This window comes from Homo sapiens, chromosome 2 (genome assembly GCF_000001405.40).
Source record: "Homo sapiens chromosome 2, GRCh38.p14 Primary Assembly".
Taxonomy (NCBI): domain Eukaryota; kingdom Metazoa; phylum Chordata; class Mammalia; order Primates; family Hominidae; genus Homo; species Homo sapiens.
Genome location: NC_000002.12, coordinates 240530483 through 240553862, shown reverse-complemented (window position 1 = coordinate 240553862; position 23380 = coordinate 240530483). Strand labels below are relative to the sequence as shown.

Genomic DNA, 23380 nt, shown 5'->3' with positions numbered 1-23380 from the left:
GTGCAAATGGCACAATCTCGGCTCACTGCAACCTCTGCCTCCAGGGTTCTAGTGATTCTCCTGCCTCAGCCTCCTGAGTAGCTGGGATTACAGGCATGCACCACCACGCCCAGCTAATTTTTGTATTTTTAGTAGAGACAGGGTTTCACCATGTTGGTCAGGCTGGTCTTGAACTCCTGACCTTAGATGATCCGCCTGCCTCGGCCTCCCAAAGTGCTGGAATTACAGATGTGAGCCACCACACCCGGCCAAATGTCACATTCTTTTTCCCTCTGGGGGCCTTGGTAAAGGGGCAGGCTCTGATACACTCACTCCTGTTGTTTGTGGAGCTCACGTGTCCAACCAGTGCTGAAGAGTTATAAATCAGAGTCCTCCCCTGTGCCTACTGGGGCCTACAGCCAGCCTTCCAGGGCCAGCCTGTCACCTGTGAACCTGGCAGGGAGCTCAGCAGCATGGGGCTCCTGAGTGGGGACAGGACCCTCCAAACCTAAGATCAAGGTCACCAGGGAGAAGGCATGTCCGTGCTCTCCTGACTCAGGATGTCTAGGTAGTTTTAAGCCTCCCCACAGTCCCCCACCTGAGGAGAAGACAGAGAGGGAGCCTGGCTATCAGGCTGACTGCCTGGTAACCCCTCTGGGTGCTTCAGTTGCCGACTCTAATAGTCGCATGCCAGGCATCCCTGAGTTCTGCCACAGCCCTGGGTGGTCCCCATTCATTGCCAACCAGGCATGGTGGCTCAGCCTCAAGGGCATCCCGTCAGGTTCTGGAAGAGCAGCAATTTCTCACCAACTTCTCCATCTCACAGTCATACCATGGGCAGTTTTACCGGGACCACTGCCATGGCCTGGGTACCTACATGTGGCCAGATGGCTCCAGTTTCACGGGCACATTTTACCTCAGCCACCGAGAAGGCTACGGCACCATGTACATGAAGACACGGCTTTTCCAGGTGAGGGGGCTGCCATGTGTTCAGCTGGGGTCGAAGTGGCTGTGTGTGTCTAAGCCACTGGACAAAAAGATATTTCGGTCCTGGGGAAGTTTATTTGTTTAGCTACAAGTAGCTTTTTTACTTTTAATGATTAAAATGGTACCAATAATAAGGATATAGACTGAAAATAAAAGCCTCCTTGCATTTTATTCCCCAGAGGGATACCAGCAAATTGTTACATGTCCTTTAGATTTAAGAAACGCACGTGTTTATTTTTAAATATGTAAACTGGATCACTGTACACATAATGTTTGAAATGTGCCTTTTTAAATGGAGAACATGCCTAGTCTTTCAAATACAGATGCCTTTCCCCCTTTTATTACAGTATAATTTACAGTAAAATTCACCCATTTTAATATATAGTTCTGAAATTTTTGACAATTACAGGGTTGTGTAACTACTACTGTAGTCAGGATATACAAACAGTTCCATCACCCTCAAAATATTGCCATGGCCTTTGTAATAAATGTCTCCTTCAACAAACTGTGGCTGATCTATTTTGGCCTAGAATTTTGCCCTTGTGAGAATGCCATATTAATGGTGTCAACAGAAAAAAAACAAACTCTGCAAAATATTTTAAAGAGGTTTATTCTGAGCCAATATGAGTGGCTGTTACTGAAACACCAGGGGTTCGCTCTAGATCTTTCCGCTTCCTGCACAGAAAGCCCATCACTGAGACAATGAGTATTGCCAAGGAAGAAGGCTGTAATTTGGAGGTGCAGCTGAAGAGATGGGAGCTTAATCTCAAATCCATCCCCCTGACTAAAACTAGGGGTTTATATATCAAGGAAGAAATGTAATAATGTGTGAGAAAGCAGGAACTTGGGAGGGGTGAGGAAGCAGTCACGGTGAACAAAGGGCCTGGAGTCACATTGAATGCCATGGTCTGGTGAGTTTCAGTTCTTTGATACTTTCTGAGAGGAGTTTCAGCTCTTTGATACTTTTTGAGAGGCCTGAAGGTCTTTCCTGAGGAAGAAACTCAGATAAAACAAATTTAAGTTTCAAGCTTTAAGACCAGAAGGGTCAATTTCTATGTTTATCTGGAAACAACTCTCTGTAGGATTACTGGGCTGGTTTCAGTCCCCCCTTTTTGTTTATCAGTTCCTCAACCATGGGGAATCAGGTTGTGGGTCTTTCTGGCTGCTCCATGCTGAGGAGGGGCGTTGTGGGCAGCTCCATACCATGGGTGACCATGTGGTCACTTAGGAATCAAAGGTTAATCTAAATAGAGTTTTCTTCTAAAAGACAATCTCTTTCCATTCCCCCACTTGCATCAAAGACAAATAACAGTAGGACAACCTACTTGCAAAATAAGCTTCAGTTTCCTGGTGCCCTGATCACCCACACAAAGCACAGCAAGAACTGTGGTTCGCATAGGCTGTCCTAAACTGGCTTTGCCGGAACCTCTCGCAAGGCCATTTCAGTTAAAGCCTTGGGAAAATAACCAGTTCCCCCAGCTGTGTCCCATTATAAAATAAAACAGATTCTTATTAAACATATGCAAACAAACACGTTGCCATGAATTAAGAATATTCACAAATAGTTTAAAAATTCTGGAGAAATTAGGCAGAGAGAAATATGACTCAAATTTTGTTTACAAATGTATACTCTACTCAGTACACTTAAAGTATATTTCAAGGTTATGAATAGCTCAAAAGAAAAAAATTATCCTGACTCTGAAAGACAAAAGAAGAATCAGCAATATTTCAAAAAAAAAAAAAACATAAAAAGCATTCCAGTGTTCTGTTAGCTGAGTCCATGCAGTCAGCTCCTGCCCTGTGTCATATTGGGTGAGCAATGTTTATGAACACATCAGCCTTCCAATTAGTGCAGTGGAAGTTTTCTCTCTCATCCAGTGGCACAATCGCCAAAGTTATCAGACACCTGAATTCAATAGTCCTTTTCAGGAACTCCCCCAAAGAAGCAAGCCCTGGACGGTAGCTGATTACAAGTCACTTTTTTTGAGAAAGATCAAAGCAAAACAATTGTGGATGACAAAAGTCTTAAGGCAGCCATAGTCAAAAGATAGAGATGACAAGGAAATTTGGTTATTTCTGTGTCATACAACAATTTAACATAATAATCATTAACTATTGTTGACAACATATATTTAAACATATTAGAATTTCAAGAATGTCATAAATCCTGGAACACATATTAATAACATGTATATAAATAAAACCCAAAGAAAGTTAAATACCACCTCACAATTTACAATGCTTCCGGTATAATTCTAATATAACAAATAAGCCTAATATGTCTTTCTTGGACTTCAGGAAGCCTAATATCCAAAAAAAGTTAATTTAAGATCAAAAATTTACCTTCATCAAGAGTAAGATCTTTTTTTTTAAATTTATTATTATTATACTTTAAGTTTCAGGGTACATGTGCACAATGTGCAGGTTAGTTACATATGTATACATGTGCCATGCTGGTATGCTGCACCCACTAACTCGTCATCTAGCATTAGGTATATCTCCCAATGCTATCCCTCCCCCCTCCCCCCACCCCACAGCAGTCCCCAGAGTGTGATGTTCCCCTTCCTGTGTCCATGTGTTCTCGTTGTTCAATTCCCGCCTATGAGTGAGAATACGCGGTGTTTGGTTTTTTGTTCTTGCGATAGTTTACCGAGAATGATGATTTCCAATTTCATCCATGTCCCTACAAAGGATGTGAACTCATTTTTTATGGCTGCATAGTATTCCATGGTGTATATATGCCACATTTTCTTAATCCAGTCTATCATTGTTGGACATTTGGGTTGGTTCCAAGTCTTTGCTATTGTGAATAATGCCACAATAAACATACGTGTGCATGTGTCTTTATAGCAGCATGATTTATAGTCCTTTGGGTATATACCCGGTAATGGGATGGCTGGGTCAAATGGTATTTCTAGTTCTAGATCCCTGAGGAATCGCCACACTGACTTCCACAATGGTTGAACTAGTTTACAGTCCCACCAACAGTGTAAAAGTGTTCCTGTTTCTCCACATCCTCTCCAGCACCTGTTGTTTCCTGACTTTTTAATGATTGCCATTCTAACTGGTGTGAGATGGTATCTCATTGTGGTTTTGATTTGCATTTCTCTGATAGCCAGTGATGGTGAACATTTTTTCATGTGTTTTTTGGCTGCATAAATGTCTTCTTTTGAGAAGTGTCTGTTCATGTCCTTCACCCACTTTTTGATGGGGTTGTTTGTTTTTTTCTTGTAAATTTGTTTTGAGTTCATTGTAGATTCTGGATATTAGCCCTTTGTCAGATGAGTAGGTTGTGAAAATTTTCTCCCATTTTGTAGGTTGCCTGTTTACTCTGATGGTAGTTTCTTTTGCTGTGCAGAAGCTCTTTAATTTAATTAGATCCCATTTGTCAATTTTGGCTTTTGTTGCCATTGCTTTTGGTGTTTTAGACATGAAGTCGTTGCCCATGCCTATGTCCTGAATGGTAATGCCTAGGTTTCTTCTAGGGTTTTTATGGTTTTAGGTCTAACGTTTAAGTCTTTAATCCATCTTGAATTGATTTTTGTATAAGGTGTAAGGAAGGGATCCAGTTTCAGCTTTCTACATATGGCTAGCCAGTTTTCCCAGCACCATTTATTAAATAGGGAATCCTTTCCCCATTGCTTGTTTTTCTCAGGTTTGTCAAAGATCAGATAGTTGTAGATATGCGGCGTTATTTCTGAGGGCTCTGTTCTGTTCCATTGATCTATATCTCTGTTTTGGTACCAGTCCCATGCTGTTTTGGTTACTGTAGCCTTGTAGTATAGTTTGAAGTCAGGTAGTGTGATGCCTCCAGCTTTGTTCTTTTGGCTTAGGATTGACTTGGCGATGCGGGCTCTTTTTTGATTCCATATGAACTTTAAAGTAGTTTTTTCCAATTTTGTGAAGAAAGTCATTGGTAGCTTGATGGGGATGGCATTGAATCTGTAAATTACCTTGGGCAGTATGGCCATTTTCACGATATTGATTCTTCCTCCCAATGAGCATGGAATGTTCTTCCATTTGTTTGTATCCTCTTTTATTTCCTTGAGCAGTGGTTTGTAGTTCTCCTTGAAGAGGTCCTTCACATCCCTTGTAAGTTGGATTCCTAGGTATTTTATTCTCTTTGAAGCAATTGTGAATGGGAGTTCACTCATGATTTGGCTCTCTGTTTGTCTGTTGTTGGTGTATAAGAATGCTTTTGATTTTTGTACATTGATTTTGTATCCTGAGACTTTGCTGAAGTTGCTTATCAGCTTAAGGAGATTTTGGGCTGAGACAATGGGGTTTTCTAGATATACAATCATGTCGTCTGCAAACAGGGACAATTTGGCTTCCTCTTTTCCTAATTGAATACCCTTTATTTCCTTCTCCTGCCTAATTGCCCTGGCCAGAACTTCCAACACTATGTTGAATAGGAGTGGTGAGAGAGGGCATCCCTGTCTTGTGCCCGTTTTCAAAGGGAATGCTTCCAGTTTTTGCCCATTCAGTATGATACTGGCTGTGGGTTTGTCATAGATAGCTCTTATTATTTTGAGATACGTCCCATCAATACCTAATTTATTGAGAGTTTTTAGCGTGAAGTGTTGTTGAATTTTGTCAAAGGTCTTTTCTGCATCTAGTGAGATAATCATGTGGTTTTTGTCTTTGGTTCTGTTTATACGCTGGATTACATTTACTGATTTGCGTATATTGAACCACCCTTGCATCCCAGGGATGAAGCCCACTTGATCATGGTGGATAAGCTTTTTGATGTGCTGCTGGATTCGGTTTGGCAGTATTTTATTGAGGATTTTTGCATCAATGTTCATCAAGGATATTGGTCTAAAATTCTCTTTTTTGGTTGTGTCTCTGCCCGGCTTTGGTATCAGGATGATGCTGGCCTCATAAAATGAGTTAGGGAGGATTCCCTCTTTTTTTATTGATTCGAATAGCTTCAGAAGGAATGGTACCAGTTCCCCCTTGTACCTCTGGTAGAATTCGGCTGTGAATCCATCTGGTCCTGGACTCTTTTTGGTTGGTAAACTATTGATTATTGCCACAATTTCAGCTCCTGTTATTGGTCTATTCAGAGATTCAACTTCTTCCTGGTTTAGTCTTGGGAGAGTGTATGTGTTGAGGAATTTATCCATTTCTTCTAGATTTTCTAGTTTATTTGCGTAGAGGTGTTTGTAGTATTCTCTGATGGTAGTTTGTATTTCTGTGGGATCGGTGGTGATATCCCCTTTATCATTTTTTATTGCATCTATTTGATTCTTCTCTCTTTTTTTCTTTATTAGTCTTGCTAGCAGTCTATCAATTTTGTTGATCCTTTCAAAAAACCAGCTCCTGGATTCATTAATTTTTTGAAGGGTTTTTTGTGTCTCTATTTCCTTCAGTTCTGCTCTGATTTTAGTTATTTCTTGCCTTCTGCTAGCTTTTGAATGTGTTTGCTCTTGCTTTTCTAGTTCTTTTAATTGTGATGTTAGGGTGTCAATTTTGGATCTTTCCTGCTTTCTCTTGTGGGCATTTAGTGCTATAAATTTCCCTCTACACGCTGCTTTGAATGCGTCCCAGAGATTCTGGTATGTTATGTCTTTGTTCTCGTTGGTTTCAAAGAATATCTTTATTTCTGCCTTCATTTCGTTATGTACCCAGTAGTCATTCAGGAGCAAGTTGTTCAGTTTCCATGTAGTTGAGCGGTTTTGAGTGAGATTCTTAATACTGAGTTCTAGTTTGATTGCACTGTGGTCTGAGAGGATAGTTTGTTATAATTTCTGTTCTTTTACATTTGCTGAGGAGAGCTTTACTTCCAAGTATGTGGTCAATTTTGGAATAGGTGTGGTGTGGTGCTGAAAAAAATGTATATTCTGTTGATTTGGGGTGGAGAGTTCTGTAGGTGTCTATTAGGTCTGCTTGGTGCAGAGCTGAGTTCAATTCCTGGGTATCCTTGTTGACTTTCTGTCTCATTGATCTGTCTAATGTTGACAATGGGGTGTTAAAGTCTCCCATTATTAATGTGTGGGAGTCTAAGTCTCTTTGTAGGTCACTCAGGACTTGCTTTATGAATCTGGGCGCTCCTGTATTGGGTGCATATATATTTAGGATAGTTAGCTCTTCTTGTCGAATTGATCCCTTTACCATTATGTAATGGCCTTCTTTGTCTCTTTTGATCTTTGTTGGTTTAAAGTCTCTTTTATCAGAGACTAGTATTGCAACCCCTGCCTTTTTTTGTTTTCCATTTGCTTGGTAGATCTTCCTCCATCCTTTTATTTTGAGCCTATGTGTGTCTCTGCACGTGGGATGGGTTTCCTGAATACAGCACACTGATGGGTCTTGACTCTTTATCCAGTTTGCCAGTCTGTGTCTTTTAATTGGAGCATTTAGTCCATTTACATTTAAAGTTAATATTGTTATGTGTGAATCTGATCCTGTCATTATGATGTTAGCTGGTTATTTTGCTCGTTAGTTGATGCAGTTTCTTCCTAGTCTCAATGGTCTTTACATTTTGGCATGATTTTGCAGCGGCTGGTATCAGTTGTTCCTTTCCATGTTTAGCGCTTCCTTCAGGAGCTCTTTTAGGGCAGGCCTGGTGGTGACAAAATCTCTCAGCATTTGCTTGTCTGTAAAGTATTTTATTTCTCCTTCACTTATGAAGCTTAGTTTGGCTGGATATGAAATTCTGGGTTGAAAATTCTTTTCTTTAAGAATGTTGAATATTGGCCCCCACTCTCTTCTGGCTTGTAGGGTTTCTGCCGAGAGATCCACTGTTAGTCTGACGAGCTTCCCTTTGAGGGTAACCCGACCTTTCTCTCTGGCTGCCCTTAACATTTTTTCCTTCATTTCAACTTTGGTGAATCTGACAATTATGTGTCTTGGAGTTGCTCTTCTTGAGGAGTATCTTTGTGGCGTTCTCTGTATTTCCTGAATCTGAATGTTGGCCTGCCTTGCTAGATTGGGGAAGTTCTCCTGGATGATATCCTGCAGAGTGTTTTCCAATTTGGTTCCATTCTCCCCGTCACTTTCAGGTATACCAATCAGACGTAGATTTGGTCTTTTCACATAGTCCCGTATTTCTTGGAGGCTTTGCTCGTTTCTTTTTATTCTTTTTTCTCTAAACTTCCCTTCTCGCTTCATTTCATTCACTTCATCTTCCATCGCTGATACCCTTTCTTCCAGTTGATCGCATCGGCTCCTGAGGCTTCTGCATTCTTCACGTAGTTCTCGAGCCTTGGTTTTCAGCTCCATCAGCTCCTTTAAGCACTTCTCTGTATTGGTTATTCTAGTTATACATTCTTCTAAAGTTTTTTCAAAGTTTTCAACTTCTTTGCCTTTGGTTTGAATTTCCTCCCGTAGCTTGGAGTAATTTGATCGTCTGAAGCCTTCTTCTCTCAGCTCGTCAAAGTCATTCTCCGTCCAGCTTTGTTCCGTTGCTGGTGAGGAACTGCGTTCCTTTGAAGGAGGAGAGGCGCTCTGCTTTTTAGAGTTTCCAGTTTTTCTGCTCTGCTTTTTCCCCATCTTTGTGGTTTTATCTACTTTCGGTCTTTGATGATGGTGATGTACAGATGGGTTTTTGGTGTGGATGTCCTTTCTATTTGTTAGTTTTCCTTCTAACAGACAGGACCCTCAGCTGCAGGTCTGTTGGAGTACCCGGCCCTGTGAGGTGTCAGTCTGCCCCTGCTGGGGGGTGCCTCCCAGTTAGGCTGCTCGGGGGGTCAGAGGTCAGGGACCCACTTGAGAAGGCAGTCTGCCCGTTCTCAGATCTCCAGCTGCGTGCTGGGAGAACCACTGCTCTCTTCAAAGCTGTCAGACAGGGACATTTAAGTCTGCAGAGGTTACTGTTGTCTTTTTGTGTGTCTGTGCCCTGCCCCCAGAGGTGGAGCCTACAGAGGCAGGCAGGCCTCCTTGAGCTGTGGTGGGCTCCACCCAGTTGGAGCTTCCCGGCTGCTTTGTTTACCTAAGCAAGCCTGGGCAATGGCGGGCGCCCCTCCCCCAGCCTCGCTGCCGCCTTGCAGTTTGATCTCAGACTGCTGTGCTAGCAATCAGCGAGACTCCGTGGGCGTAGGACCCTCCGAGCCAGGTGCGGGATGTAATCTCCTGGTGCGCCGTTTTTTAAGCCCGTCAGAAAAGCGCAGTATTCGGGTGGGAGTGACCCGATTTTCCAGGTGCCGTCTGTCACCCCTTTCTTTGACTAGGAAAGGGAACTCCCTGACCCCTTGCGCTTCCTGAGTGAGGCAATGCCTCGCCCGGCTTCGGCTTGCGCACAGTGCGCGCACCCACTGACCTGCGCCCACTGTCTGGCACTCCCTAGTGAGATGAACCCGGTACCTCAGGTGGAAATGCAGAAATCACCCATCTTCTGCGTCGCTTATGCTCGGAGCTGTAGACCAGAGCTGTTCCTATTCAGCCATCTTGGCTCCTCCCCCCCCAAGAGTAAGACCTTTAACTTTGAGCAATGTTAATTAGCCAAACTTCTCCAATGTTCTATCAGGTTTTAAAGAATATTTTACTATCTAAACTTTTTCAACTTTCTATTTTCTCTGCATGTGCATGAAGATAGATACACAGAGAAACAGGAAAAAATTACATATGCTTTACACAAGACCATCTGTGACATGCTTGGACTTTCTGATTTGTCCTAAATTTTCTTTCTTTTTTAAGTAACCAATCATTTTAGGACAAAAATTTACCGCACAAGATTTCTTTCTCATGAAAAATTATTATTTTTTCTTTATAACCTTCCTTAACAAATATATATCTTCATATTCATAACTTTCTTCACATCTCTTTCCCCTACTTACTGGTTCCTTTCTACTTTGTTTCATGAATAACCTTTTAACTCTATAATTTGAACTAACCTTTAGATAACGTCTAAGTTGGACAAAATTATTCTTTTTCTCACAGCACATCTTCTTTGGTATATTTTATATACAGAATTATAATTAACTACAACTTTTATTCTTAGTAACCTTACATTTTAGTGAAACCCTAGGAAGCAAGAAATCCCAAACTATCAGATGTTAGCATTTTATAGATGAGAACAGTTCCACAATTTTTAGAAACATATTTCCCCATATCATAACCTTTTCTTCATTGGAAATGACTTAGGTATCTAATGAACGTTAAAAATAATTATAAGGTTTCAAATTACACAAAAAGTTCCCCTATAGCACTTATATAATGTATATAAATATATTTTATTTTTAGCAGTTTATCTAGATTATTTATGTATCATTTATTTCCTTGTTAACCATTTTATAACCTGTGAATATTAGGTATTCATCTAAATAAGAACCTTAAAGTTAACTACATGGGTATTTTCACCAATAACTCAGAAGATTCAGCTGCTTTCATTAAAGTAACAACATTAAATTAGTCGTACTTATCAAAAAATTCACAGAAAGATAATTTTGTTTTGGCTGGGTATATAGTTTTATAACCTTCTGTGCCAAACCCTGATATCTCAAAATGTCTAGCAAAGACAAATATAAAACCCAGATAAAAATATATGCTGGCAATTCTGAAGACATTTCTATTTTTATTTTATCTATAATTTTTTTTTTTTTTTGAGAAAGAGTCTCGCTCTATCACCCAGGCTGGAGTGCAGTGGTACGGTCTCGGCTCACTGCAAGCTCCGCTTCCCAGGTTCATGCCATTCTCCTGCCTCAGCCTCCCGAGTAGCTGGGACTACAGGTGCCCGCCACCACACCCGGCTAATTTTTTTTTTGCATTTTTAGTAGAGACGGGGTTTCACCGTGTTAGCCAGGATGGTCTCCATCTCCTGACCTCATGATCTGCCCGCCTTGGCCTCCCAAATTGCTGGGATTACAGGCATGAGCCACTGTGCCCAGCCTATTTTACCTATAATTTCAAAGCCAGTTTGTTTAGTGAAGATTTACTTAAATCTCGTGAAAACTGCTTGGACTTATTTAATACTAATTATTACTTAACTAATTATTAATTATATTTTTATTAAGTAATTATAAGTAATTACTTATTACTTAATGAAAATTAAGTAAATAATTTACTTAAGTAATTAAATAATTTACTTAATTTCAATTCATAAATTTACCTTAATTTATGAGTTGAAAATTGCTTGGACTTATTTACTTAATTTATAAGTGCTCTTTTATTTATAAACCAACTTGGTAGACTCAACCTATAACATAATAAATTTATACATATATATATATATATATAGATATAAACATATCTAGACATGTATACACACACACAGATACAAAGATTCAATAGCTCTTACCTTGGAACTCCGTGAGATAGCAATACAAACTCACCAGTCTACGAATTTGTTTACATGTCTGAACTCTATTAGCCTCAATAGGTAATCCAGTGAAGGCTGTGGACCAAAATTTTAGGTAAAGCAGTTTCCATGGCAGTTTGATTTTTTTTTTTTTTTGAGACGGAGTCTCGGTCTGTTGCCCAGGCTGGCGTGCAGTGGCGCGGTATCAGCTCACTGCAACCTCCACCTCCCAGGTTCAAGTGATTCTCTGCCTCGGCCTCCAGAGTAGCTGGGATTACAGGCGCCTGCCACCACACCCGGCTAATTTTTGTATTTTTAGTAGAGATGGGGTTTTGCCATCTTGGCCAGGCTAGTCTTGAACTCTGACCTTGTAACCCACCTGCCCTGACTTCCCAAAGTGCTGAGATTACAGGCATGAGCCACTATGCCTGGCCCTTTTTTTTTTTTTTTTTCTGAGATGGAGTCTTGCTGTCACCCAGGCTAGAGTGCAGTGGTACAATCTTGGCTCACTGCAGCCTCTGCCCCCTGGGTTCCAGCAATTCTCCTGCCTCAGCCTCCTGAGTAGCTGGGATTACAGGCGAACGCCACTACGCCCAGCTAATTTTTGTATTTTTAGTAGTTGGGGTTTCACCATGTTGGCCAGGCTGGTCTCAAACTCCTGACCTCAGGTGATCTGCCCACCTTGGCCTCTCAAGGTGCTGGGATTACAGGCGTGAGCCACTGTGCCTGGCCAGCAGTTTGATTTTTAAAGGCCAAACCTCCCCAGACCCCAAAGAGCACTTGGGCCAAACAGCACCCCAGAAGAACATCACCTGAAACAGACTAATCTGGCCCAACCCTGCTTAAAACAGCAACATACGCCCAGCGTGGTGGCTCACGCCTGTAATCCCAGTGCTTTGGAAGGCCGAGGCAGGTGGATCACGAGGTCAGGAGATCAAGATCATCCTGGCTAACATGGTGAAACCCCGTCTCTACTAAAAATACAAAAAATTAGCCAGGTGTGATGGCACAGACCTGTAGTCCCAGCTACTCTGGAGGCTGAGGCAGGAGAATGGCATGAACCTGGGAGGCGGAGCTTGCAGTGAGTTGAGATGGCGCCATTGCACTCCAGCCTGGGCGAGAGTGAGACTCCGTCTCAAAAAAAAAAAAAAAAAAAAGCAACAACATAAAAGCCACATGGAACTCAATCTTGCTTTCCCATTGAACAGCAAACTCTGAATTCCAAAGAATATTGGGGCCAAAAAGTATTACAAAAGAATATCAGTTTACTGAAGCTTAATTTCCCACGACACACACACAAACAATCACCAAAACACAATCCAACTGCTGCAGCAAGAAAGAAGCCCCAAGAGTGTCCCAACTGAAACAGTTGGAGTGCTTCCTCTCTTCATGGATTGGGCTTGGTCACCCTGCAAACAACAATTCCTTTGGAATTTCCCAAATTAAGAAGAGCCGATCCTACTGTCTGGCACTCACAAAAGATACTCACTTTCCCAGGCACACACACAACACACAGTTACAAACAAGCCCTCAGGAGTGTCCATACTGAAACAGTTGGGGTGCTTTCCTCTCTTAGTCAGTTGGGCTTGTTGAACCTGCAAATGGAATTTCCTTTAAAAATTTCCCAAATTGAGAGGAGCAGATCCTGCTGTTTGGGCCCACAAAGGACACTCACCTATCTTGATGCAGATGTCAAATTTCAAAGACAGTGCTTCTGAGGCAATCAGGAACGCTTCTGGGGCTGGCAGAGAGAGACGGAGACTCTCACCTCCAGCCAAAATTGGGCTGGCAGCTGTTTAGGAGGGCTTCTGAGACTTCAGGCCTTCAGCAATGCTGATGCACGAGCAATGCGTTCCTTGTCAGGGAACCAAAATCTGTTATTGAAACATCACGGGTTCAGTCTAGGTCCTGCTGCTCACCCTTCAGAAAGCCAGTCACTGAGACCAGGAGTATTGCAAAAGAAGAAGGCTTTAATCAGGTGCTGCAGCGGAGGAGACTGGGGCTCAGTCTCAAATCCATTTCCATGACTGACTAGATCTAAGGGTTTAGATAGCAGGGAAGAAATGTAACAATGGGTAAGAAAACAGGAACTCAGGAGGGGTAAGGAAGCAATCATGGTGAATGAGGGGCCTGGAGTCTCATTGGATGCAGTGATCTGGTGAGTTTCAGTTCTTTGACACTTTTTGAGAGACCTGGGCTTCCTTTCCTGAGGAAAGAAGCACATAAAACAAAGTTTCAAGCTTTAAGACCAGAAGGGTCAATTTCTGTGTTTATCCTAAAAACTGTCTATGGGGCTGTTGGGTCGGTTTCATGACCATGGCTCAGGGAAACACAATCTCAGGGAGTCCTGAGAAAGTGTGCCTGAGGCAGTCAGATCAGTCTTATGTGTTTAAGGGAGACAAGAACTACAGCAAAGACCTAAATCAATACATGGAAAACACACATTGGTTAGGTCCAAAAAGGTGGGATGTCTGGAAGAGGAGGCTTACAGGTTATAGGTGGATTCAGGGACTCTGTAATTTACAGTTGGTTAAAGGCTCTAACACTTGGAGTCAGCACAAAGGAATGTTTTAAGTTAAGGATGCTACATAGCAAGATTGATGGCCTGCAGGTGTGGCCTTGCCATGCATGGCTTTAGGTCCTGTTTATAACTGGGTATCTTATTGCTATAGAGAGTCTGTTTTGTCAGCCTTCTGGTCTCTATTTTAACATTAGTGCTGGTCAGTTGTGTCTAAACTCCAAAAGGGAGGGGGTATAGCAAGGTATGTCTGACTTCCCTTCCTGCTATGGCTAAGCACACAGTTTTTCCGGTTTTTCTGGGGTCCTCTTGGCCAGGAGGGGTCCATTCAGTCTGTTCAGAGGGATTAGGATCTTACTTTTAGTTTACAATGAAATCACACAATGTGCAGCCTTTTGAGTCTGGCATCTGACACTTAGCATCATGCATCTGAGATTCATCTGTTTGTTCCAGGAGTTGGTTCCTTTTTATTGCTTAATACATTTTCATTGTGTGGAGCTACCATAGTTTATTCCCCTGATGAAGGACATTTGAGTTGTTTCCAGTGTTTGGCAATTATGAATAATCCTATTGTGTCCGGAATTGGTGGGTTCTTGGTCTCACTGACTTCAAGAATGAAGCCGCGGACTCCTCGTGGTGAGTGTTACGGTTCTTAAAGATGGTGTGTCGGGAGTTTGTTCCTTCTGATGTTTGGACGTGTTCATAGTTTCTTCCTTCTGGCGGGTTCATGGTCTCGCTGGCTTCAGGAGTGAAGCTGCAGACCTTCACGGTGAGTGTTACAGCTCTTAAGGTGGTGCGTCTGGAGTTGCTCGTTCCTCCGGTCCGGAGTTGTTCGTTCCTCTGGTCCAGAGTTGTTCGTTCCTCCCAGTGGGTTTGTGGTCTCGCTGGCCTCAGGAGTGAAGCTGCAGACCTTTGCGGTGAGTGTTAACAGCTCATAAACGCAGTGCGGACCCAAAGAGTGAGCAGCAGAAAGATGTATTGCAAAGAGCGAAAGAACAAAGCTTTCACAGTGTGGAAGGGGACCCCAGTGGGTTGCCACTGGCTGCCTCAGGCAGCCTGCGTTTATTCCCTTATCTGACCCCACCCACATCCTGCTGATTGGTCCATTTTACAGAGAGCTGATCGGTCCATTTTGACAAAGTGCTGATTGGTGCGTTTACAATCCCTGAGCAAGACACAGAGTGCTGATTGGTGCATTTACAATCCTCTAGCTAGACATAAAAGTTCTCCAAGTCCCCACCAGATTAGCTAGATACAGAGTACTGATTGGTGCATCCACAAACCCCAAGCTAGACACAGAGTGCTGATTGGTGCACTTACAAACCTTGAGCTAGACACAGAGTGCTGACTGGTGCATTTACAATCCTTTAGCTAGACACAAAAGTTCTCCAAGACCCCACTAGATTCAGGAGCTCAGCTGGCTTTGCCTAGTGGATCGCACGCCAGGGCCACTGGGGGAGGTGCCCGTCAGTGCCTCACTGCACGCCCATACTCCTCAGCCCTTGGGTGGTGGATGGGACTGGGGAGCTGTGGAGCAGGGGGCGGCGCCTGTCGGGGAGGCTGGGGCAGTGCAGGAGGTGGGGGCGCTCGGGCATGGCACGCTGCAGGTCCCGAGCCCTGCCCCGTGGGGAGGCAGCTGAGTCCCCACGAGAATTTGAGTGCAGCGCTGGCGGGCTGGCAGTGCTGAGGGACCTGGCGCACCCTCCGCAGCTTCTGGCCCAGGTGCTAAGCCCCTCACTGCCCGGGGCAAGTGGCACCGGCTGGTGGCTCTGAGTGTGGGCCCCCCGAGCCCACGCCCACCCAGAACTCGCGCTGGCCCCTGAGCGCCGCTCGCAGCCCCATTTCCCGCCTGCGCCTCTCCCTCCACACCTCCCTGCAAGCAGAGGGAGCCGGCTCCGGCCTCGGCCAGCCCCAGAGAGGGGCCCCCACAGCGCAGCAGCAGGCTGAAAGGCCCCTCAAGCGCGGCGGGAGCGGACGCGGAGTCAGAGGAGGCGCCGAGAGTGAGCGAGGGCTGCTAGCACGTTGTCACCTCTCACCATTGTTAAAAGAAAAACTTAAGCCAAATTAAATTTAAAGGAGTTTAATTGAGCAATGAACGATTGATGAATCAGGCAGCCCCCAGAATCACAGCAGATTCAGAGAGACTCCAGCGCAGCCACGTGGTGGAAGACAATGTATGGACAGCAAAAGGAAGGTGAAATACAGAAAAGAGAAGCGAGGTACAGAAGCAGCTGGATTGGTTGCAGCTCAGTGTTTGCCTTATTTGAACATGGTTTGAACAGTGGCTACATTTGATTGGCCAAAACTCAGCGATTGGCGCAGGTGTGGGCTATGACCAGTTTACACCTCCACTTGTTGTGGTTTACAGCGTGCAGAAGAACCTTTAGGCCAAACTGAAACAGGTAAGGAGGCAGCTTGAGGCTACACTTGATTTGACACCATTATAGACATGCACACTTCGTTGTTTTGTACATGTCAACATGAAACACGGGCCTCCGTGTCGCTTGGGAAGATACTTGGGAGTGGGACTGTGGGGTCATGTGGTGACTGCTTAACCAAATGGTTGTTGTCACCCTAAAGGAAGAGACTGAGGCAAAATTTAATGTAAGTAGAGTTTTGAGGACTGCAAGGTTTGAGGACTGCAGCCAGAGAGAAATACATTCAAGTTGCCCTGAATAGACGCTCCAATTAGCAGCAGTTACAAGTGAGGTTTTAAAGGAAAAGGGGAAATTCTTAAGTTATTTACCAAGAATTTACATTAAAATCACAGGAGCTATTGACTGGATATTGTTTTTTGTATCGGAAATCCTACGAACATGAAGACAATAGGCGAGGGTCACATTATGGAACTTATGATAACATTTTGGGTAACTTATCAGCAAATCTGGAAACTATAGGTAAAGAAAGGAAAAACAAAAGGCCTTGAAACAATTACCCTGGGCCTGGCTGCAGGTGAGGGTGGGGGCCTGACTGAAGTCTCTTGCTGGTCTCTCTGGGCCTCATCACTTTAGCCAACCTCACATTCCTCAGGCTGCTGTGAGATACAGTTTTTCTTGCTGTGCTGTTTTTTTCTTTTCTTTTTCTTCTTTTTTTCTTTTTCGTTGAAAGTGAATATTTGGATGGGTACGGTGGCTCACGACTGTGATCCCAGCACTTTGGGAGGCTGAAGCAAGAGGATTGCTTGAGCTCAGGAGTTTGAAACTAGCCTGGGCAACATAGTGAGACCCTCTCTCTATTTATTTTAAAAAGAAAAATAATTTTAAAAAATCAAAATGAATATTTAGCATGAGAAAAAATTACAATAAATTATACATTTAAGAAAGTGGCTGCATTCAATAAATATTATAGAATCCAGGGAAAAAGCATAGTCTTTTTATTAACTGCCTGATCCACCTCTATAAGACTTCTTGTATATTTTTTGACTGTCTAATCTTTAGCTGCCTCTTCATATGTAATATTTTCTTGTAGAGAAGAGAAAGGCAATGCGATACATCTTATGTTACTGCTCAATTGTTTTTTGTTTGTTTTTAGAGACAGGGTCTTGCTCTGTTGCTTCAAGGGTTTGAATCTCTGAATTCTTATTACCACCTGGTCTTGTCACTGTTACTTTAGTTTTAGCCTCTCTAGTAGTCATGCAGTGGCATTGCACTGTGGCCTGAAATGGCCTTTCCCTAAATGAGTGGCGCTGCTGTGCCCCTTTTCATGTTTCTGTGCCCTCCGTTTTTCCTCTGGCTAGTCTTGCCAGGGAGGTGTCAATTTTATTCATTTTCCCCAAAGAAACAGCCTTCAGCTCAGTTGAGCATGCCATTTGATTCTATTTTCTTATCCAGTTCATCGATTTTTTCCAAAAGAAAAAAAAAGAATTTTCTTTTCTTTTCTCACTTATTGATATTCTAGTTTTCTTCTTACCTGATGTACATATTTAATGATATATATTCTTTCTAAGCATGGCTCTGTAATCCAAAATTTGGTTATATTATTTTCATTCAGTTCAAAATATGTTCTCATTTCTGTTGTGATTTCCTCTCGACCCATGGTTTATCTTATAGGAGTATTGCTTAGTGTTCAGGCTCTAGATAGTTTTTTGTTATTGATTTTCTGCATTCTTGTGTGCCTTGTATGGTTGCAGTTCTTTGAAACTTAGAGACTTGCTTTATGACCCAGACTTTGGCCAACTTTTTAAATGTTTTTGTATTTATGAAAAGAATATGCATTTTGCAGTTAGTGAGCATAGTCTTTATATGTGCTTGGGTCACTTTTACTATTTGTGTTAGTCTTTACTATTTAGGGGGGTGTGGTGGGGTTGGGGGGCAGGGTCTTGCTCTGTCACCCAGGCTGGAGTGCAGTGGCATGATCACAGCTGAGGACTAAACTCTGATTTTTTAAAAATCTTGCCCAAATTCCTACCTAAGGGGTCTAGGGAGTCATGTCCTACAAACCATAAATTCTTACCAGATGGGTTTTGTTTGACCCTATATATCATGACTTACTTTCAATCTGACTCTGGTATAACATTATGTGACAAGAAAAGAATATTTATCCTCAAAATACATTTCCTTGTCATACCTTGAAATTGCCCTGCAAAGTCTCTTGTGGGAAAAATCCACGTTCTCTAGAGAATCCCCTTTCCCCTTTGTTTTCCTTCCTTTCTTTCCAGATGCAGGAGATAATCACCTAAGAGCCAGGCACCCTTTTAGGTCCCGTAAGAAACATTTTACAACCTGCTCTCTCTCTGAACAATAAAACTTGGTTCTTTATCTTAACCTGAACATTCCTTTCCATTGATCCCAAGTAAACTGGGTTCAGATAAACTCAACCAATTGTCAACCAGAAAATATTTAAATTTACCTGCAGCCTGAAAGCCCCCACTTTGATTTGTTCCACCTTTCTGAACTAAACCAATGTATTTCCTAAATGTATTTGTTTGATGTCTCATGCCTCCCTAAAACATATAAAACCAAGCTGTACCCCAACCACCTTGGGCACATGTTCTGAGGACCTCCTGAGGGCTGTGTCATGGGCCATGGTCACTCACATTTGGCTCAGAATAAATCTCTTAAAACATTTCACACAGTTTGACTTTTTTCATCGACACAGCTTACTGCAGCCTTGACCTCCCAGGCTCAAGCAATCCTTTGCCTCAGCCTCCTGAGTAGCTGGGACCATAGGCATGCACCATCACACCCTGATAATTTTATTTTTGTAGAGATGGGGTCTTGCTATGTTGCCCTGGTTGGTTTTGAACTCCTGGGCTCAAGTGATCCTCACACCTCAGCCTCCGAAAGTGCTGGGATTATTGGTGTGAGCCACCATGCCCCATCTTGTCTAAATCCGATATGCTTTTTTTGACTGCTCATTCCATTGATGACTGAGAAAGGTATGTTAGAATCTCTCACTGTGATTGTGGATTTATTATTCTTATAATTCTGTCAAATTTTGCTTTATTTATTTTGAGACCATATTGTTAGAAGAGTCAAACTTTTGAATTAGTATATCTCCCTGTAGGTTGAATCTATTATTATGATGAAGTGATCATCTTTGACACAGGGTCTTGCTGTGTTGCCCAGGCTGGGGTGCAGTGGTGTGACCACGGCTCGCTGCAGCATTGACCTCCTGGGCTCAGGTGATCCTCCCACCTCAGCCTCCCTAGGAGCTGGGACTACAGGCATGCATCACCATGCTGGGTTAATTCTTTTATGTTTTGTAGAGTTCTCACTATGTTGCCCAGGCTGGTCTCAAACTCCCGGGCTCAAGTGTTCCTCCTGCCTCAGCCTCCCAAAGGTTTAGGATTGCAGGCATGAGCCACTAAAAAAATCTCTTGTCATGCTTTATGACCCAAAGTCTAATTTGTAGATATTAACAAGGCTACATTAGCTTTCTGGGATTACAGGAGTCAAGTCCTGCCTTCTAGGCGAGGATGCATGTCAAGAGCCCCAGTGGATGCCCCAAACTGTGGATAAGCTCCAGTGGATGCCTGAAACTGTGGATAGCATCAAGCCTTATATATACTAGGTTTAAGTGACGAGTGGGTGGACAGTGTGTGGAGTATGGAGAAGCTGGATAAAGGCACAATTCACATCTCAGGCAGGACTAGGCAGGATGCTGTGAGATTTCATCTCAATACGCAGAATGGCATGTAATTTAAAACTTATGAATTGTTCATTTCTGGAATTTTCCATTTATTATTTTTGGAGTATGGTTGACCATGAGTAACTGAAACTGTGGAAAGCAAAACTGCAGATACGGAAGGACTCCAGTATTTTTCCTGTGATGCGTCTTTCTCTGTAACTTTACTTTCAACCTTTCTGTTTCATTATGTTTTAGATATTTCTTCATTTTACATTTTTTGTATTTTTTTCATGACGCATCACTCTACCTAAAAAAAGTGTGTGTGTGTGTGTGTGTGTGTGTGTGTGTGTGTGTTTATTGAAATCCAGCCCAATAATTGTCACTGGTCATTTAGACCTGCATTGTCCAACGTGGTGGCCACTAGCCATGCATGTCTCCTGAGCACTTGAAATGTGGCTGGGCCAAGTTCAGGGGTGCTGTGAATGTGAACCACACACCAGATCTTGAAGAATTATTAAGAAAAAAGAATGTAAGATACATCAACAATTTTGAATATTAAATATATGTTGAAATGATATTTTAGAAAGATTGAGTTAAATAAAAATATTTTTAAAAAATAATTCTACCAGCTTCCATTTACTTACTGTGTAAAAATTTTAAATTATATACTTAGCTCATGATTTTTCTTTTGTACAACTCTGATTTTAGACCATGTACATCTCATAGTAATATACTTGCTTTACGTCTGCTATCTTATTATGCAGTTTTTCTTTGTTCCACCTGTTATACATTTCTTCTCTTTTTTCTCATCTTCATTTGGGTCGATATGGTATTTTAAAAAAAATCTTGTTTTCACATTATCAGTTTCAAAGTTATACACTCTTTTTCTATTATTTTAGCAACACCCTAAAAATTACAGCATGCATTCTTGATACACTAATTCTAGTATTTATAGATACGTTTAATTTTCCAGGAAAATGTATGAAACTTAGACTATTTTTTAACTCCATTTATCCCTTTTTGAATTCTATGCTGCTACTGGGATCCATTAAAAATATATAAGGGGCCCAGGTGTGGGGGCCCATGCCTGTAATCCTAATACTTTGGAAGGCCAAGGCAGGAGGATCGCTTGAGGCCAGGGGTTCAAGACCAGCCTGAGCAATAGTGAGACCTCATCTCTACAAAATAAAAATAAGAAAAATTAGTTGGGCATGATGGCGTGCACCTGTAGTCCTAGCTACTCAGGAGTCTGAGGTGGGAGGCTCGCTTGAGCCCAGGAATTTGAGGACATATATAGGGGGGATTGGAGGAAACTTTGGGTGGTGATGGATATTTCTGTGGCCTTCATGGTGGTGATGGATTCATGGCTGTAAACTTACTCCTAAACTCATCAAGTGTATACATGTATGTGCAGCTTTTTACATGTTAGTCATACCCCTAATAAGAGTGGCTTTATATCTATGTCTATCTATCTAGTCTCTCTGAGAACTTATTATAGTCAGCATTTTTAGACTTACCCAGGTATTGTCACCTTCTCTGCCCTTACTCCTTCTTGTGTTTCTGGTCTTTTATCAAGAGTCACTCTCCCTGAATTTAATTAATTACTTTTTTTGTACAATTGCCTTCCCCAAAGTGTCACTTTCTTTCTGCCTGAAGAATACCCTTAGAATTTGAATGTGTATTTGAAGATGGTATTCTGTCAGTTTTTGCTTGTCTGAGAATCAGTTGTTTTTGCCTCAGTTCTTGAAGAATATCCCCACAGGACAGAGTTCTAGGTTGACAGTTATTTTCTTGAGCACAGTGAAGATTCTACTCCATTGTTTCCTGGCTTCCATCTTTGCTGTTGAGAAGTCAGCTGTCAGCCTATTGCTCTTTTGAATATATTCTGTCTCTTCTTTGGCTGCTTTGAGGTTTTGTCTTTCTTTGGTTTTCTACAGTTTCAATGTGATGTTTCCATTTGTGGATCTGGAAAATTCTCAACTGTTATTTCTTCAAATATTGCCTGTGCCTCATTCTCTCTCCTCTCTCTCTGGTACTCGAATTGCAGGTATGTTAGACCTACTCACAATACCCTCTATGTCTCATTTCTGTGTCTTCCATTTTTATATATTGAACATGCTATTCTTCCACTAAAATTATTTTCTTAGTATTTTTTCCATTTTTTAGTCAGTTTTATTGAGATAAAATTTGCATGCAACATGATTTACTGATTTTAAGTAACCAACTCAGTGAATTTTGAGCAAATGCATATAGTCATTTCACTACCACCTTGATCATGATTTAGAATATTTCTATCATCCCCCAGAATTTTTTCCAGCTCCTTTATAGTAAACCCCTACCTCCACCCTCTAGCCATTGACAACTACTAATCTGCTTTTTGTCATTGTAGTTTCCCTGTTTCTATAATTTTATATACATACAATTTTACCGGGTGTAGTATTTTATGTTTGATTTCTTTTGCTTACGGCATGATTCTTTTGAGACTCATACATGTTTTACATATTTCAGTCAATTTAAAAAAATTATGGGGTAGTATTCCATTGCATGGATATAACACAAAATTTTTATTGGTTCACCAATAAATGCATATTTGACTTCTTCCAAATTTTTGGTTTCTATGAATAAAGCTGCCCAGAACGGTTGATTGGAAGTGGACATATATCTTTGTTTTCACTTGGATAAATACCCAAGAGTGGGGTTGCTGGTCAAAACAGTAAGTGTATGGTACATTTTATAAGAAATGGCCAAACTGTCATTCAAAGCGACTGTGCCGTTTTGCATTTAGTCATCAAGATACGAAAGTTCCACTTGTTTCACATCCTTGTCGACACTTGGTATTGCCAGTCTTTTTATTTTAGCCATTCTCATGGGTGTATGTGGTATGTTATTATGGTTTGAATTTTTAGTGCTCCAGTGACTAATGATGTTGGACATTTTTTCATATTCTTATTTGTTATCTACATATCTTCTATGGTGAAGTGTTTATTTGTTTTACTGATTATTAATTGGGTTATTTATGTTCTTATGGACTTACAGAGTTCTTTATATATATTCTGATACTTATAAATATTTTATCCCAGTAGTGGCTTACCTTTTCACTTTTCTTAACAATGACTTTTTTTTTTTTACTTTATTTTATTATTCTATTTATGTATTTATTGAGACAGGGTCTCACTCTGTTGCCCAGGCTGGAGTGCAGTGGTGTGATCATAGCTCACTGCAGCCTTGAACTTCTGGTCTCAAGCGAGCCTTCCAACTCAGCCTCTGAGTAGCTGGGCTTACAGGTGTGCGTCATCACACCAGCACAATTTGTAAATTTTTTTGTGGAGATTGGGTCTCCTGACACCCTTCAATGGCGATCAGAGTGTTAGTTTCTCTTTTTGGATGCTCAGGCGGGTGTGTAGCATGGGTGGTGTATTAGGCCATTCTCACGTTGCCGCAAAGAAATACCTGAGGCTGGGTAATTTATAAAGAAAAGAGGTGTGATTGGCTCATGGTTCTGCAGGTTGTACAGGAAGCATGGCTGGGACAGCCTCAAGAAGCTTCCGGTCATGTTGGAAGGTGAACGGGGAGCAGGCACATCATGTGGT

At 42.0% G+C, this 23380-nt stretch overlaps 1 protein-coding gene across 84 annotated transcripts in view, besides 1 other annotated feature; it reads left to right on the top strand.

The window, feature by feature from the left end:
• The window catches only part of ANKMY1 (ankyrin repeat and MYND domain containing 1), a 92433-nt gene that overhangs the window by 7202 nt on the left and 61851 nt on the right, over window positions 1-23380 (top strand). For 78 of the 84 annotated variants that reach the window (NR_171698.1, NR_171696.1, NR_148697.3 and 75 more), the window contains one exon: window positions 806-949. The exons of the other annotated variants lie outside the window; for them this stretch is intronic. Coding sequence is in view for 66 of the 78 variants with exons in the window: in NM_001393464.1 (NP_001380393.1) it covers window positions 806-949 (144 nt within the window). In the remaining 12 variants the exon portion in view is untranslated. The remainder of the gene's footprint in view (window positions 1-805; window positions 950-23380) is intronic. 84 annotated transcript variants of the gene reach the window in all.
• Window positions 1890-1989: a silencer, noted in NCBI's record as "silent region_12512". NCBI's record gives its function as "represses an Ori minimal core promoter by ATAC-STARR-seq in GM12878 lymphoblastoid cells {active_cell/tissue: GM12878}" and the evidence as "EXISTENCE:reporter gene assay evidence [ECO:0000049][PMID:35858748]".